At 40.3% G+C, this 12,721-nt stretch overlaps 1 protein-coding gene across 7 annotated transcripts in view, besides 1 other annotated feature; it reads left to right on the forward strand.

Annotated features, from left to right (window-relative positions):
- The first annotated feature begins 8,409 nt into the window (after window positions 1-8,409).
- Window positions 8,410-12,721, forward strand: part of CMC1 (C-X9-C motif containing 1) — an 83,524-nt gene continuing 79,212 nt past the window's right edge. For 6 of the 7 annotated variants that reach the window (NR_138585.2, NM_001331185.2, NM_001331189.2 and 3 more), the window contains exon 1: window positions 8,410-8,603. Coding sequence is in view for 5 of the 7 variants with exons in the window: in NM_001331185.2 (NP_001318114.1) it covers window positions 8,585-8,603 (19 nt within the window). In the remaining 2 variants the exon portion in view is untranslated. Of the gene's footprint in view, window positions 8,693-12,721 lie in introns of all 7 variants that reach the window. The other variant, NM_001331187.2, reaches the window with a different exon arrangement.
- Window positions 8,623-8,702: a silencer, noted in NCBI's record as "silent region_14156". NCBI's record gives its function as "represses an Ori minimal core promoter by ATAC-STARR-seq in GM12878 lymphoblastoid cells {active_cell/tissue: GM12878}" and the evidence as "EXISTENCE:reporter gene assay evidence [ECO:0000049][PMID:35858748]".

The raw sequence follows: 12,721 nt of genomic DNA on the forward strand, positions 1-12,721 counted from the left end.
ACCAGAAATGTGTACCTCATGTCCTGAGTTAAGAAAACATCTCTTAAAGTATATAGAACCTGGAAGTACCTATAGCAAATAACCAGAAAGGACGAAAATAGTGTCAGAATTAAGGCAGGAGTTAGGGACAGGGAAAAGAACAGAAATGATATTAATAAAGAATAATTGATGGGCCATGTGACCCACTTCAGTTTTACATGGTGCCCTTACATTCTCCATTAACAGGAATTTGTGCAAGAAGCATTTATGATGCCAAGTCCTGTGAGAAATGTAGGGGACTACCATAGCACATAAGACACAATCTCTTTCCTCAGAAAGCAGATAGTCATGTGACTTAGTAACAACAGCAATACCTTATTTTTATAGGACATCTTTCATCTACACTTTGAGATCCCTGGCTCCATGACACAGAATCAAATTAATAGAAGTTAACATAAACACTCTTCTTTACTAAAGGTCAAGGCCTGAGTTCTTTGGGATGTCTTCATTTGGACTTAATGCTTCATGTCTAATTGGTAAAGATACCAGAATCAGTGATGTGGGATTGTTTTGTTTGAGCATAGCACTGGGAAGAAAGCATTGAAACTTGATAGCAATACTTAACATTAGATTTTTTTTTTCTTGTATCTTCTTTGGCTCCAAATAGTAGTGGATAATCTAGCTATTTTAACCATATTCATAGGGCATGGCACTAATCCCACACCTATTCTACATGGTAAAAGCTTTGTCAATGAGGACTCCATTTGCCTTTCTCTTGTTGAAAATCTAATTATTCTTTAAGACCTACTCGAACATAAGCAAGTATATAAAGTCTTCTGAAAGTCAAATTAATTTATCCATTCTTTGGGCTCCCATATCATCATCTATCAGTTGAATTGTAATTATTTGTTCATATATTTTTCTATCTCCCTCTAGACTTTGAGTCCTTAAAGGCAGAAACCTCATCTTACTGATCTTTATTTTCCCAGGATTCAGTACAGTGAGCGGCATACAGAAAATTCTCTGATCTGAAGGAGGAATGGTGCTCAATTAAGACATTTGTCTTCTTTCAGATTAGCAGGGTGGAGATACTTGGTGTTAAGTCACTAAAGTTTTCATAACTTTGTTTCCTCTAAATGAGCAAAAGGTCTCTGACTTGTTTTCAGTGCAGTTGACCCACTAACTGGTATGTCATTGATGTTTCAGGCTCGGTGTACAACAAAAAACACTCCTGTGTTTTCTTCGTCAGTTCCTATGAGAAATTCTACAGAGGATCATAGCACCCACACAAAGCCAAAATAGGAGAAATCCAAGATAAGTCATGTCATAGTATTATTATTACTTTTGAAAATTATTTCATTTTCTAGGAATAGAGCCTCTGACCCCAGAGAATATTGTGGTCTGTCTCAAAGGAGGCCACCCAGAAAACCATACACAGTAAAAACAAAACATAAAATATAGAAAGCCTTCTGCAGAGGTGAGAGGTGATATTTCACACTTTTTTTTCTCACCTGATAAATGATAGGGCACACTGCTAAATCTCCTTTCTTCATTTGAAGGTTGTTTCACATAATACTGATTTAAACCCATTGTTGTCTAGATTTCAATCCTGAAGGCAGAGTAGCTCTGAATAAAACATTTTTAAAAACTACATATCCTGTAATAATAGTTTGAAAGAACAGTTTTCAAAAGTGAAAATAGAGAGGACAATCATCATAGTAACAATTACTATAGTTTAAGAATGGCCTACTGTGTGCTGGACACCACTGTCAGCGTTTGTAACAGGGCATCATTAAGGCTCAAATCAATCATGCGGAGGTGGGTTATATTTGTACAGATGAAAAAATTGAGGCTCAGGAGGATAAACAATTTACCAAAAGTTACATTTAAAGTAGCAGAGCAGCTATCTCTATATATACAACAACATGAATAAATCTCATAACCATGAAGTTGAGCAAAAAAAAGCCAGATAGGAAAGACTACACACTGTATGATTACATTTATATAAAGATCAAAAACAGGCAAAACTAATCAATGCTCAGAGAAGTTATGAGAGTAGCTACTTTTGTAGAGAGAGGTTTTACTAAAAGGAGATAAAAAGGAAAGTTCTGGATGACTAGAAATGTTCTATATTTTGACAGAACATTATTCTGGGTGGTAGTTCAAAGTGTATAAACATGTAAATGTTCTATATTTTGACAGAGCATTATTTTGGGTGGTAGTTCAAAGTGTATAAATACGTAAATACTTAGCTGCACAAAGATTTGTAGTCTTTACTGTATATAAGTTATATCTCAATTTAAAAAGTTAAGTAAAGTAGGGGAGAAAAATGAGTTTAGCTCTGTGTATTAGGCCATTCTCACGTTGCTCTAAAGAAATACTAAGACTGGATAATTTATACCAAAAAGAAGTGTAACTGGCTCATAGGTTGGATAGGAAGCATGATGCTGGTATCTGCTTGGCTTCTGGGGAGCCTTCAGGAAACTTATAATCATAGTGGAAGGTGAAGGAGGAGCAGACATGTCACATGGCCAGAGCAGGAGTGGGAGAGAGAGGAGGTGCCACACACTTTTAAACAGATCTCACAAGATCTCATTCACTATCGCAAGGACAGTACCAAGAGGATGGTGCTAAAGCATTCATGAGAAATCTGCCCCCATGATCCAATCACCTCCCAACAGGCCCCACCTCAAATATAGGGGATTACATTCAGCATGAGATTTGGGTGAGTACATACATCCAAATTATATCACTCTGTTTAGTTCCAATGGTCCTAGTGAAAACTAGATACTTTTTCTGCATCAGTTTCAAGTTTTTATATTAACTACAAACTCTTACCCATTTTTCCAGGATAGCCCAAAGAAGTCTTTACAGGTAATTTAATAAACCATTGTATGTAAGTTAATGTAGCAGAAATTGCAGATTACAAGGAGGTTGGTTACGAAAAGTTGATATAGTAATCTGGGACTAAGTTTATAAAGAGTTTTGTGAACCTTACTAAAAGAAGGGGTTTGAATTTTATTTATATAAGGAACTACTGAGGATTTATATATGTATGTATGTATGCATGTATTTGTTTCAACTGGCAAGTTAGATAGTATATATTTATAGTGTACATCATGACGTTTAAAATACATATTGTGGAATGACAAAATAAAGTTATTTAACATATGCATTACTCTACATACTTATCTTTTTTTTGTAATGGGAATACATAAAATTTATTACAGAGTAGCAGTTTTCAAATAGACAATATATTGTTACTAACTGAAGTGATCATGATGTACAGTAGATCTCTTGAACTTATCCTTCCTGTCTAATGGAAATTTTCTATTTTTTTAATTAACATTTCCCCAAGGTCCCCAAACCCCTAGCTTCTGGTTACCACCATTTTACTCTCTGTTTCTATAAGTTTGGTTTTTTCACACTGCACATATAAGTAAGATCATGCGGTATTTTTCTTTCTGTGCTGAGCTTATTTCACGCAAGAGTCTTTCAAAATTGAAGGACACATAATGTCCTTCAGGTTCATCCATGTTGTTGCAAATGACAGAATTTCTCTTTTTAGAGCTGAACAGTATTCCATTGTGTATATATACCATGTTTTCTTTATCCATTCGTCTATTGATGGACCCTTAGGATGATTCCATGTCTTGGCTATTGTGAATTATGCTGCAATAAAACATGGGAGTGCAGATATCTCTTCAGCATGTTGCTTTCATATCCTTTGAATATATACCCAGTAGTGGGACTGCTGGATCATATGATAGTTCTGTTCTTAAGTTTCTGGGGAGCCTCCAGACTGTTTTCCATAATGGCTGTACTAATTTACATTCCCACCAGCAGTGTGTAAGTGTTCTCTTTTCTCTATATCGTCATAAATGTTTATTATCTTCCTGTATTTCTGCTATTCTAACAGATCTTAAGTGATATCTCATTGTGGTTTTAATTTGAATTTCCCTGATGATTAATGATGTTGAACATTTTTTCACATACTTATCATTTATATGTCTCCTTTTGAGAAATGCCTATTAATGTCCTTTGCCCATTTTTATATTGGGTTATTTGTTTTCTTGCTATGGAGTTGTTTGAATTCCTTATATATTTTGGATATTAGCTCCTTATCATTTGTATGATTTGCAAATATATTCTCCCATTCCATAGGTTGTCTCTTACTGGGAATTTTATATAAGAAATTTTATAATCATATTTGCTGTTGTGGGTGACATGGAATAGAGAGAATAAGTGGGAGGAAGAAATGCCTAGGAACAGAGAGCCAGTTCAGAACTATTACAATAATATCAGCACAAATGGGCAGACCTTGGACTAGGAGTTATGACTCTGATTGGCAGATGAAATAAAGATATATTAAGGAAGGAGAACTGACTACATGTTTTGATCAATCAGATGTAGAGAAGGGACAGTCAGGAGCTGATTGAAGTGGATAGGTGAACTGAGTCAGATTAAAACAGGCCCTATTCAACAGCCAGGAAAACAGGGACAAAGTATTTTATTCTGGTGACAGGCTAACACTAGACAGGTTCTCAGGGCTCTAGTGAAGTGATTTGGGATTCAGGGAATAATTGTAGTCCTTTAAAAATATTTCAATGCTTTTATCAGTTGAACTGTGTCTCCCAAAATTCTTGTGTTGAAGTCCTAGCCCCCAGCACCTCAGAATGTGACTGCATTTGGAGATACGGTTTTAAAAGAGGTAGTTTAGACAAAATGAGGCCATTAGGATATTCATTAGAGTTGGTCCCAATCCAATATGGCTGATGTCCTTACAAGAAGACATTAGGAGACACAGCCACACAGAGGGAAGACCATGTGAAGACACAGGAGAAGATGCCATGTACAAATCAAGAAGAGAGGCCTCAGGAGAAAGCAACTCTGCCGACATTTTTGATCTCAGACTTCTAACCTGCAATTGTGAGAAAATATTTCTGTTGTTTAAGCTACCCAGACTGTGGCACTTCATTATGACCACCCTAGCAAATAATAGAAATGTCAACATGGACCTAAGTCCTTTTAAACCAGAGAAGGCACAAGCCATGCAAACTGGGTGCTAAATAATACAGCTCAGAAAGTAGGCAGGGCCACCAGGGACCCTTGATTAGTGATCTTCTGGCCGAGAACTACTTCTAAATCCTATCCTCTGGTAGAGATGAGGCGTCTAATATTCTTTCAAGTTTGATTCTTACTGACTCAAATTTGAAATCTCATTGATTTCAAGTTTTATTCTCATCTGTAGCAGAGCCAAGCTGCAGATGAAAAGTCTTTACTTCTGATGCTAAGAAGAGGCAGAAGCAAGGAGGGGCTGACTGATAATCTCAATTTCAAAAAACAACTAGCTGCATATCAACATATAGCATAAAGGAATGTTAGATCCAATTCAGAATTGACTCAAAAATAATCAAGATACTTGTTTCTACTTGCACATTCCTTTGCCTTCACATACAAAGAGAAATTCACTGTGGTTCAACTACTGTTATTACCCTGCATTACTGCAAATTTCTCTGAACTGATCTTTCTGTTTCATTATCGCCACTGTTAGCCCCCAATAATGAGGATCAAGGCAGATCATTTCAGGCATGAATAGGCACATTGCCATGATTTTCTCATTTGTCTGTATACATTTGCCAAAAAAAGGAATTATCCAGAAATCTTGACTCTTTGTCTTAGTCTTCTAAATCCAATTTCAAAGGATAGATTCTTCCTTTGCAATTACTCTCACATCCATCCTTTTATATATCCCAGTTGAGGCTCTTTTCATATCTTGCCCAAACCAGTACAATAGCCTCCTTACTTTTCTGCTTGCCTTTTAGCTCTTTCCTCGCTGCCTACATTCATCCTGCGCAAAACTTTTATAAAACACCTTTAGAAAATTTTGACCACAATGCTCTTTTCCTATATATTAACCTTCAACAGATTCTGGTTGCTTATAGTAACACATTCAAACACACCTCTGTCTAGTGTTTAAGGCTGTGGGAATCTGGACTTTTCTAGCCAATGCATAACTGCCCTAGCTTCCCAAATCCTAAAATGCATTGAAGTAGTTTCAAGCATTGCCCACCACATGCCTGCCACACAGCCCCGTGGTGCTTCCTGCCACACAGCTGGGTGCTTCCCACCCCTGTGCTTTTGTTCATGTGATTCCATTCCTTAGCCTGTACTCTGCCATGCTCCACCATGCTCTTTCAAGAACAGTTCAAATCCCAGATGCTTTTGCTCTCATTTTTCTCCCAGCATGAGATGCCCTTTTTTCTGTCTACTCATTGTACCCATCGTTCAAGGCCGAGCATAACTTCTAACTTATCTCTGAAGTCTTTCCTAACCATTGCGGCATTCAATCCTTTGAGAAAGGCTTTTGTGGGGTCACCAGTTACCAGACGTTGCCTGAGCTCTAGGGATCACAGCTGGGTAAGACACTGTTCCTAATTTCCAGGATGATGTCCTCTCCTCTTTCCTTGAGCTCCTTTTGCAGTTACTACCCAAAGAATTGCCTATTAATAATGCGATGCCTCAGGAAATTTCTTCTGTTTTTAATTGCCAATTACATTCGCTTAACTTAAAAAATGACTTATCTTCCCTAGGTATAGATTGTAAAGACTCAGTTTCCCCCCAAAGTATCTGGTTTAACATGGGAGTAGAGAGAGATATACTATTATGTATCAGGTATTGGGCTACCGTTTTTGCTAGTGCTTCTCCTGGTGTGATACGTCTAGCAGTTCATTCTATGGGGCACACAAAACCCATGATATTACAGATACTGTTGCTTAGGATAAGGCTAAAGTAAATAGTGCCTATTTAAGTGTTTTTAAAAATGTGTTGATTTAAAAACAAATGTTAAATAGTAATGTTTCAAGTAATAGCTATGGCAGAAATGGTAGAAGTGGTCCTTTAAAGTCTTTCAAATGCATTGTATGATATCACATTTATTCCTCAGAACAACCTTGTAAATTGGAAACCAAAGTCCAGAAAAATAATAGAACTTACTCAACTCACTAAGATAACAGATCAAACTTTCCTCCTTTACCATAATACCCTTTTGCATATAGAAAGATTTAGTTTAATTCTTGAATATGGGTGTCTGACCTGTGTTTTCATACTCCATCTCCTCAAAAAGATTGCTTTAGCTTTCTAAATCAAATCCTTCACCTTCAGAACAATAAAAGAGGCATACCAGAGTCATTTTGGTGTATTTCTAAGCATATTTACAAAATATACAAGGAAAAGGACCTGATTCCCTGGCTGGGTGAGTGAAACGTTAATTCTTCACCTTGGCACCTCAACCTACAGCTGTAATAAGGGCCGTTATGCCCAAATAGGCCCTTAAACGGAAGACCTGCTGAGCAGAGACCCACTTTCCCAGCCCTGCTCAACTGCCTCAGCTTTTCTGCCAACTGACCAGGCGGAAGCAGCAGCAGGGGAGGAGGGACTGCAGGTAGGTGGGGAGGGGATCATTTTGAAAGCCCTGAATCCCTTGCAGGGAAGAAGCAGCTGCTCCTTGTTTTTCTAAACATCTGTCCCATCTGTCCCAGGCCTCAGCTCACCCTTTCGTGGCTCGAGCCAGTTAAACGTGAATTTGACAAGGAAGCACTTCTGAAGGCTGGTTTGTGAGTGGAAATGAACCTAAGTGCCACCTAGAAAGTTTCTTCTATTGAGAAGAGGTGAGTAGTGGGTCTTCAGCGGGACGGCTATTACCTTCCTTCATTTTACTCTCACAAAACATACAGCTTTTACTGATAGAGGCAGGATTTGTAACATCACCCAAATCATACTGTACGTCCTGAGGATATTATTTCACAACATAGAGGTACTTCTAGAGCCCATATTTTAACGTCTAGGAGAGCCACAGTCTTTGATTTGAAGGAGAAATAACGATATTGCACACACCATATCACCTTTATGGTAGAACAAGCTGTGAACAACTAGTGCGTGTGGCGTTTATCACATTTAACAGCGTGTTGCTTTTATTTGTCTCCTCTGCCACACTGCTCCTTGAGAACAGGGACGTTATTTTTATTGTTATTTTCCCCTCGTATTCAGAACCGTGGCTGGAACTTGGCAGGCATGAAATAGACATTTATGAATGAATGAACGTTAACGAAGAAAAAAAAAGGAACTGGATGATTCATTTGGTTCTCCGAAGGCGGGTATGGGGGACGGGGCTCGGACTTTGGCCCAGTCACCGAGTGAGGCACAGTCCCAAAGTCCTGCAGGTCCGCCTCCAGTCACGGCCGACCCGGGTCTGCAACTGGTGCACAAGCCTCCTGAAGCGAGGCTGCGCGCGTCCTGCACGGTCCCGCCCCAAAGGCACGCAGACACGCCCCCTTTCCTGGTCATTCCCCCTGCGAAGTCAGTTCCACTCTAGTTACAGGATTGGGGCGGGGCCAGAAAGGCGCAGGCGCAACGGGCGGCGGAAGTAGGAGCCTGGGAAGGAAGAGGGAACGGGTCCTGGCGGTGCTTTGCAAAGGGCCCGTGTTTCTGTTGCGGGAAGCTCCCGGGGGTCGCACGTGCGTCCGAGCCCAAGCCCCTCCCCTCCACTCCCCTTCCTGCGTGCCCCGGAGCCGCCAAGCGGCTACGTTCTTCTCGGCCCGCCGAGATGGCGCTCGACCCCGCAGGTACCGGGGCGGGAAGCGGGGTTTGCCGAGGGGCCTCGCCCCGGGTCTCACGCCGCGGGCCATGCGGGCTGGATGCCGACCTGGGAAAGGTGCAGAGCTCTGGGTAGCATTGCTTCCACCAGCGTCTCCTCATACCCGGCGGCTGCTTCGCCCGGTCTGAGGTCATCTTCTCACTTGTTGGGGATTATGGTTATCTGAGGTTGCGTTTGTTGTCTAAAGTATCATCCATTGTGGTTTCCAACTTAACGCGACTAGTCTCTTCATTGTCACCCTCTTTTCGCCCCTTAAGGTCACAGATGCATTTAATGTATGCTGCAGACACTCTGGCCCCAGAAAAATTTGTATATTTGTTCTGGCGCACAGTTTTACATTTCTGTTTGGGAGTTCATGGACCCCGAGTTCATCCTTGTAACCCAACTTAAAAACATATTTCAAAGGATCCATCACTATGGCAGGAGTCAGTTTCTTTGGAAAGGATCTTCAAAATCTTGAATGTTGTTTTAATCTCTTTGCTTCCAGCCACTTCCGTTTGCAGCAATAGTTAACTTACCCTCGAATTCCCGTCCTTGTGGAAGGTCACCTGCAGTATCTTTGCGTTAGGCTATTTTTGCAAGGGAATAGATAACATTTTTGGAGGGAATGGTAGTTGGTCTAGTCCATTTCTTTCATTTTATGGATACAAAAAGTCAAAACATTGAGAGGTAAATGGCGTCAAACTTGGGAGATTCAGAAATGGAAAATGCTCTTTCGGAGCCTTCAAGGAGCATGGAAAATATATGTAGCACAGAAATAATGTTTTAATTGAACATGTTATTACCATGCTAAGTGTTCTCTATTATCCAACAATAATATGTGGTATGGTAGGTCCTTTTAGCTCCATTTTACAGATTAGGAAACTGAGGCGAAGAGAAGTTAAGTGACTAGTCCAGCAGGTAGTGGTAGATCAGGGAGTACTCTAATTTGAAGCATAGAGGAGTTCTGGAACATAATGATCATATTCATTTTGGACTAGGTGGTTATGAAGCAGTTAGCAGTTGATCTGGGCTTTGAGGGATGGAATTTCCAGTGGTTGGAGCTGGAGAAGAGGCAGCCCTATGAGCAAAGGTTTAGATAGTAAGGTGCACTGTGCGATGCTTGGTTTCAGGATGACTACCATGATTTGGTTCTTGAGGGTAGAAGGGGTAGAGTATAAGTGAGGGGTGAGTAAGGAAGGTTCAAGTTTAGGCCCATATAATTTATGGTATCTTTTTTTTTTATTTTACTGAAACGGAGTCTCACTGTCGCCCAGGCTGGAGTGCAGTGGCGCTATCTCGGCTCACTGTAGCCTCCGCCTACTGGGTTCAAGCAATTCTCCCACCGCAGCCTCCTGAGTAGCTGGGATTACGGGCGCCCGCCACCACGGCCGGCTAATTTTTGTATTTTTAGTAGAGATGAGGTTTCGCCGTGTTCGCCATGCTGGTCTGGAACTCCTGACCTCAAGTGATCTGCCTGACTTGGCCTCCCAAAGTGCTGGGATTACAGGTGTGAGCCACCGCACCCAGCCTAATTATGGTACTTCTGAACTTGAAGTGACCTTTAAAGTAATCTCATACGGATGAGGAGACTGAGAATGAGAGAGGTTAAAGATTTCCATATATCTACACTTTTTGAATTTAGACAAGGAAATTTGGGAAAAAAGTCTTCATACTTGCTCTCTTCACTTGCTTACCTTCCAGTTACTCATAAGCCACTCCAATCTTGTGTTGTACCCAAGGCCACACAGCTAGTTGCTGGTAGAGTCAAGTCTGGTTAGAACCTAGGTAATTTCATTTCCAGTCCAGTGCTGTAGACCATGCCACCTTTTGAGTATTGATTAAACAAAGACTTGTTGAGTGTCTGGTATATGTCCCATATTGTTCTGGACCCTAGGGAACAGTAGTACATAGGACAAACAAAATTCCTGCTCCCAATAAAGCTTATCTAGTGGTAGAAAAAACAATTAACACCCCCTTTTCCCCCTACACAGACACGTGCGTGGGCACACACACATACACACACACATTTTTACAGATTGTGATAAACATGAAGAAAATAATGTCATGTGGTAGATGGTGAAGAGATTAGTCAGTGAAGAGCTTTATGAGGAAGTGTCATTTGAATTGGAATCTGAGGGATGAGAGGAAGCTAGGCAGAGTGTGCTTGGCCATCAGGTAGCAAATACTTAAAATATTTAACTTGAACGTGGGTCAGAGTGTGGAGGGGATCCATAAGGAAAGATATTGGGAAAGTAGGTAGTCACTAAATGCCTAGATATTGCAGAGGCTGCAAGTCCTCAAAGGCTGGCTGTGATAATAAAGCATTTGGATTTTTTCTAATGGCATCAAATGCCTTTAGAATCTTTTAAAGAGGGCAGTAACATAATTTATGTGTTTATTATCCTCGCTACAGTGGTAGCATGCATTGTAGAGGGGTCAGGTCATAAGTGGAAGAAGGGAGACAGGTTAAGGGATAGGAGCAGTAGTCCAGGCCAAATATGTTTGTATCTTAGCCCAAGATGGTAATAGACAGATGGAAAGAAATATACAGCGTCATGAGGAGAAATTGACAGGACCTGTGGTTGCATTGAATAAGGATGGTGAGAGAAAGGGAGGAAACAGTGGGCACCGTGGCTCATGCCCTTAATCCCAGTGCTTTGGGAGGCCGAGGCAGGCAGATCGCATGAGCTCAGGAGTTTGAGACCACCCTGGGCAACATGGTGAAAATCCATCTCTACTAAAATACAAAAAATTTAGCCAGGCATGGTGGCACACGCCTGTAGTCCCAGCTACTCAGGAGGCTGAGGAATGAGAATTTGAGCCTGGAAGGCAGCGGTTGCAGTGAGCCGAGGTTGCGCCACTGCACTCCAGCTTGGGCCACAGAGTGAGACTTCGTCTCAAAAAAAAAAAAAAGAGGAAATAGGGATAATTCCAGTTTTTGTACGTCAGCAGCTGGGTGGAAGGTCATGGTCAAATCTAACAATGTGATTATTGGAAACTTCATCAAAGGAAGGAATGGAAGCAATGGAGAGTAAAAAAGTGGAGTCAGCAAGTAGGAAGGTTTTTTTTTTTTTCCCTAAATTGTTTTGTCTGTTTAAATTCCAGAATAAAATGTATGGAAGCCAGTTTTTTTTTTTTTTTAATTTCGTGTTTATTTGGTTCATACGTTGAAGCTTAGTTTCACATTTTGATGTTTTACTGCTTTGTACAGCCCACGATGGTATTTGCCCATATTGAGTAAGTGAATAATAGATACACCAATTGAGGTTCATTTAGCAAAATCTGTTTTCCTATTGGTTTATTTTGTATTTTCTGTGATCTTTATAGAAGCTTGATTTTCATTTGGCAGCAACTTTTAATTAACTTTGTAGGGTCTCTGTTTTCCTCAAGAAACTGTGAACCCAGCGAAAAAATGCAGGTTACATGCTTATACATAGTTTTATTTACATTATTTTCCTTTTTTTTGTTAATGTAGCAGTAATAACAGCAATCTTTGCTTATTGCCATGTTCCGGACAAATTTTCAGACATGATTATATTCTCAGATGATGGCCCATAGGAACCTGCACCTGATAAATTTGATTTTTCACTTTCTCTATCAACTAAAGTAATTCCTTTCTCCCTTCTTTGACCTTTCCCCTTTTTAGTTAGGTTCTCTTCCCTCTGTCAACATAGATTCATTCTCTACTTATGCAGAATGGGGCATGGCAGCCTAAGGGAAGTTTCCTTAATCAGGTGTGTGTGTGTCCCTGTGTCCTTCTATTGCTGTTTTTTTCCGGGAACTTAATAAAAGGAGGAAGATGGGACAGAGATAGGGCTTAGGGGGTGGAAAGTGGGTTCAAGAATTTCATGACATTCCATGAGAAGGTGTTTAAGGTATATGTGTCTTGGGAAGATTTAATTATGGATGTTCTTGGAACATTTGGGTTGCAGTACTCCAAGTTGGGGTTCTTTCAGTGGTTCCTGTGGGAATGTAGGTAAATTACCTTTAGGGGTACAGGAACAGTACTAGCCCTTACATTTACTAGAAAATTTTAAGTTAGACATGTAAACAAACTTGAAGAATCTTTTTTGAGCATTGTATGTTTAATATGTAAAAGGTTGT

This window comes from Homo sapiens, chromosome 3, assembly GCF_000001405.40.
Source record: "Homo sapiens chromosome 3, GRCh38.p14 Primary Assembly".
NCBI lineage: Eukaryota > Metazoa > Chordata > Mammalia > Primates > Hominidae > Homo > Homo sapiens.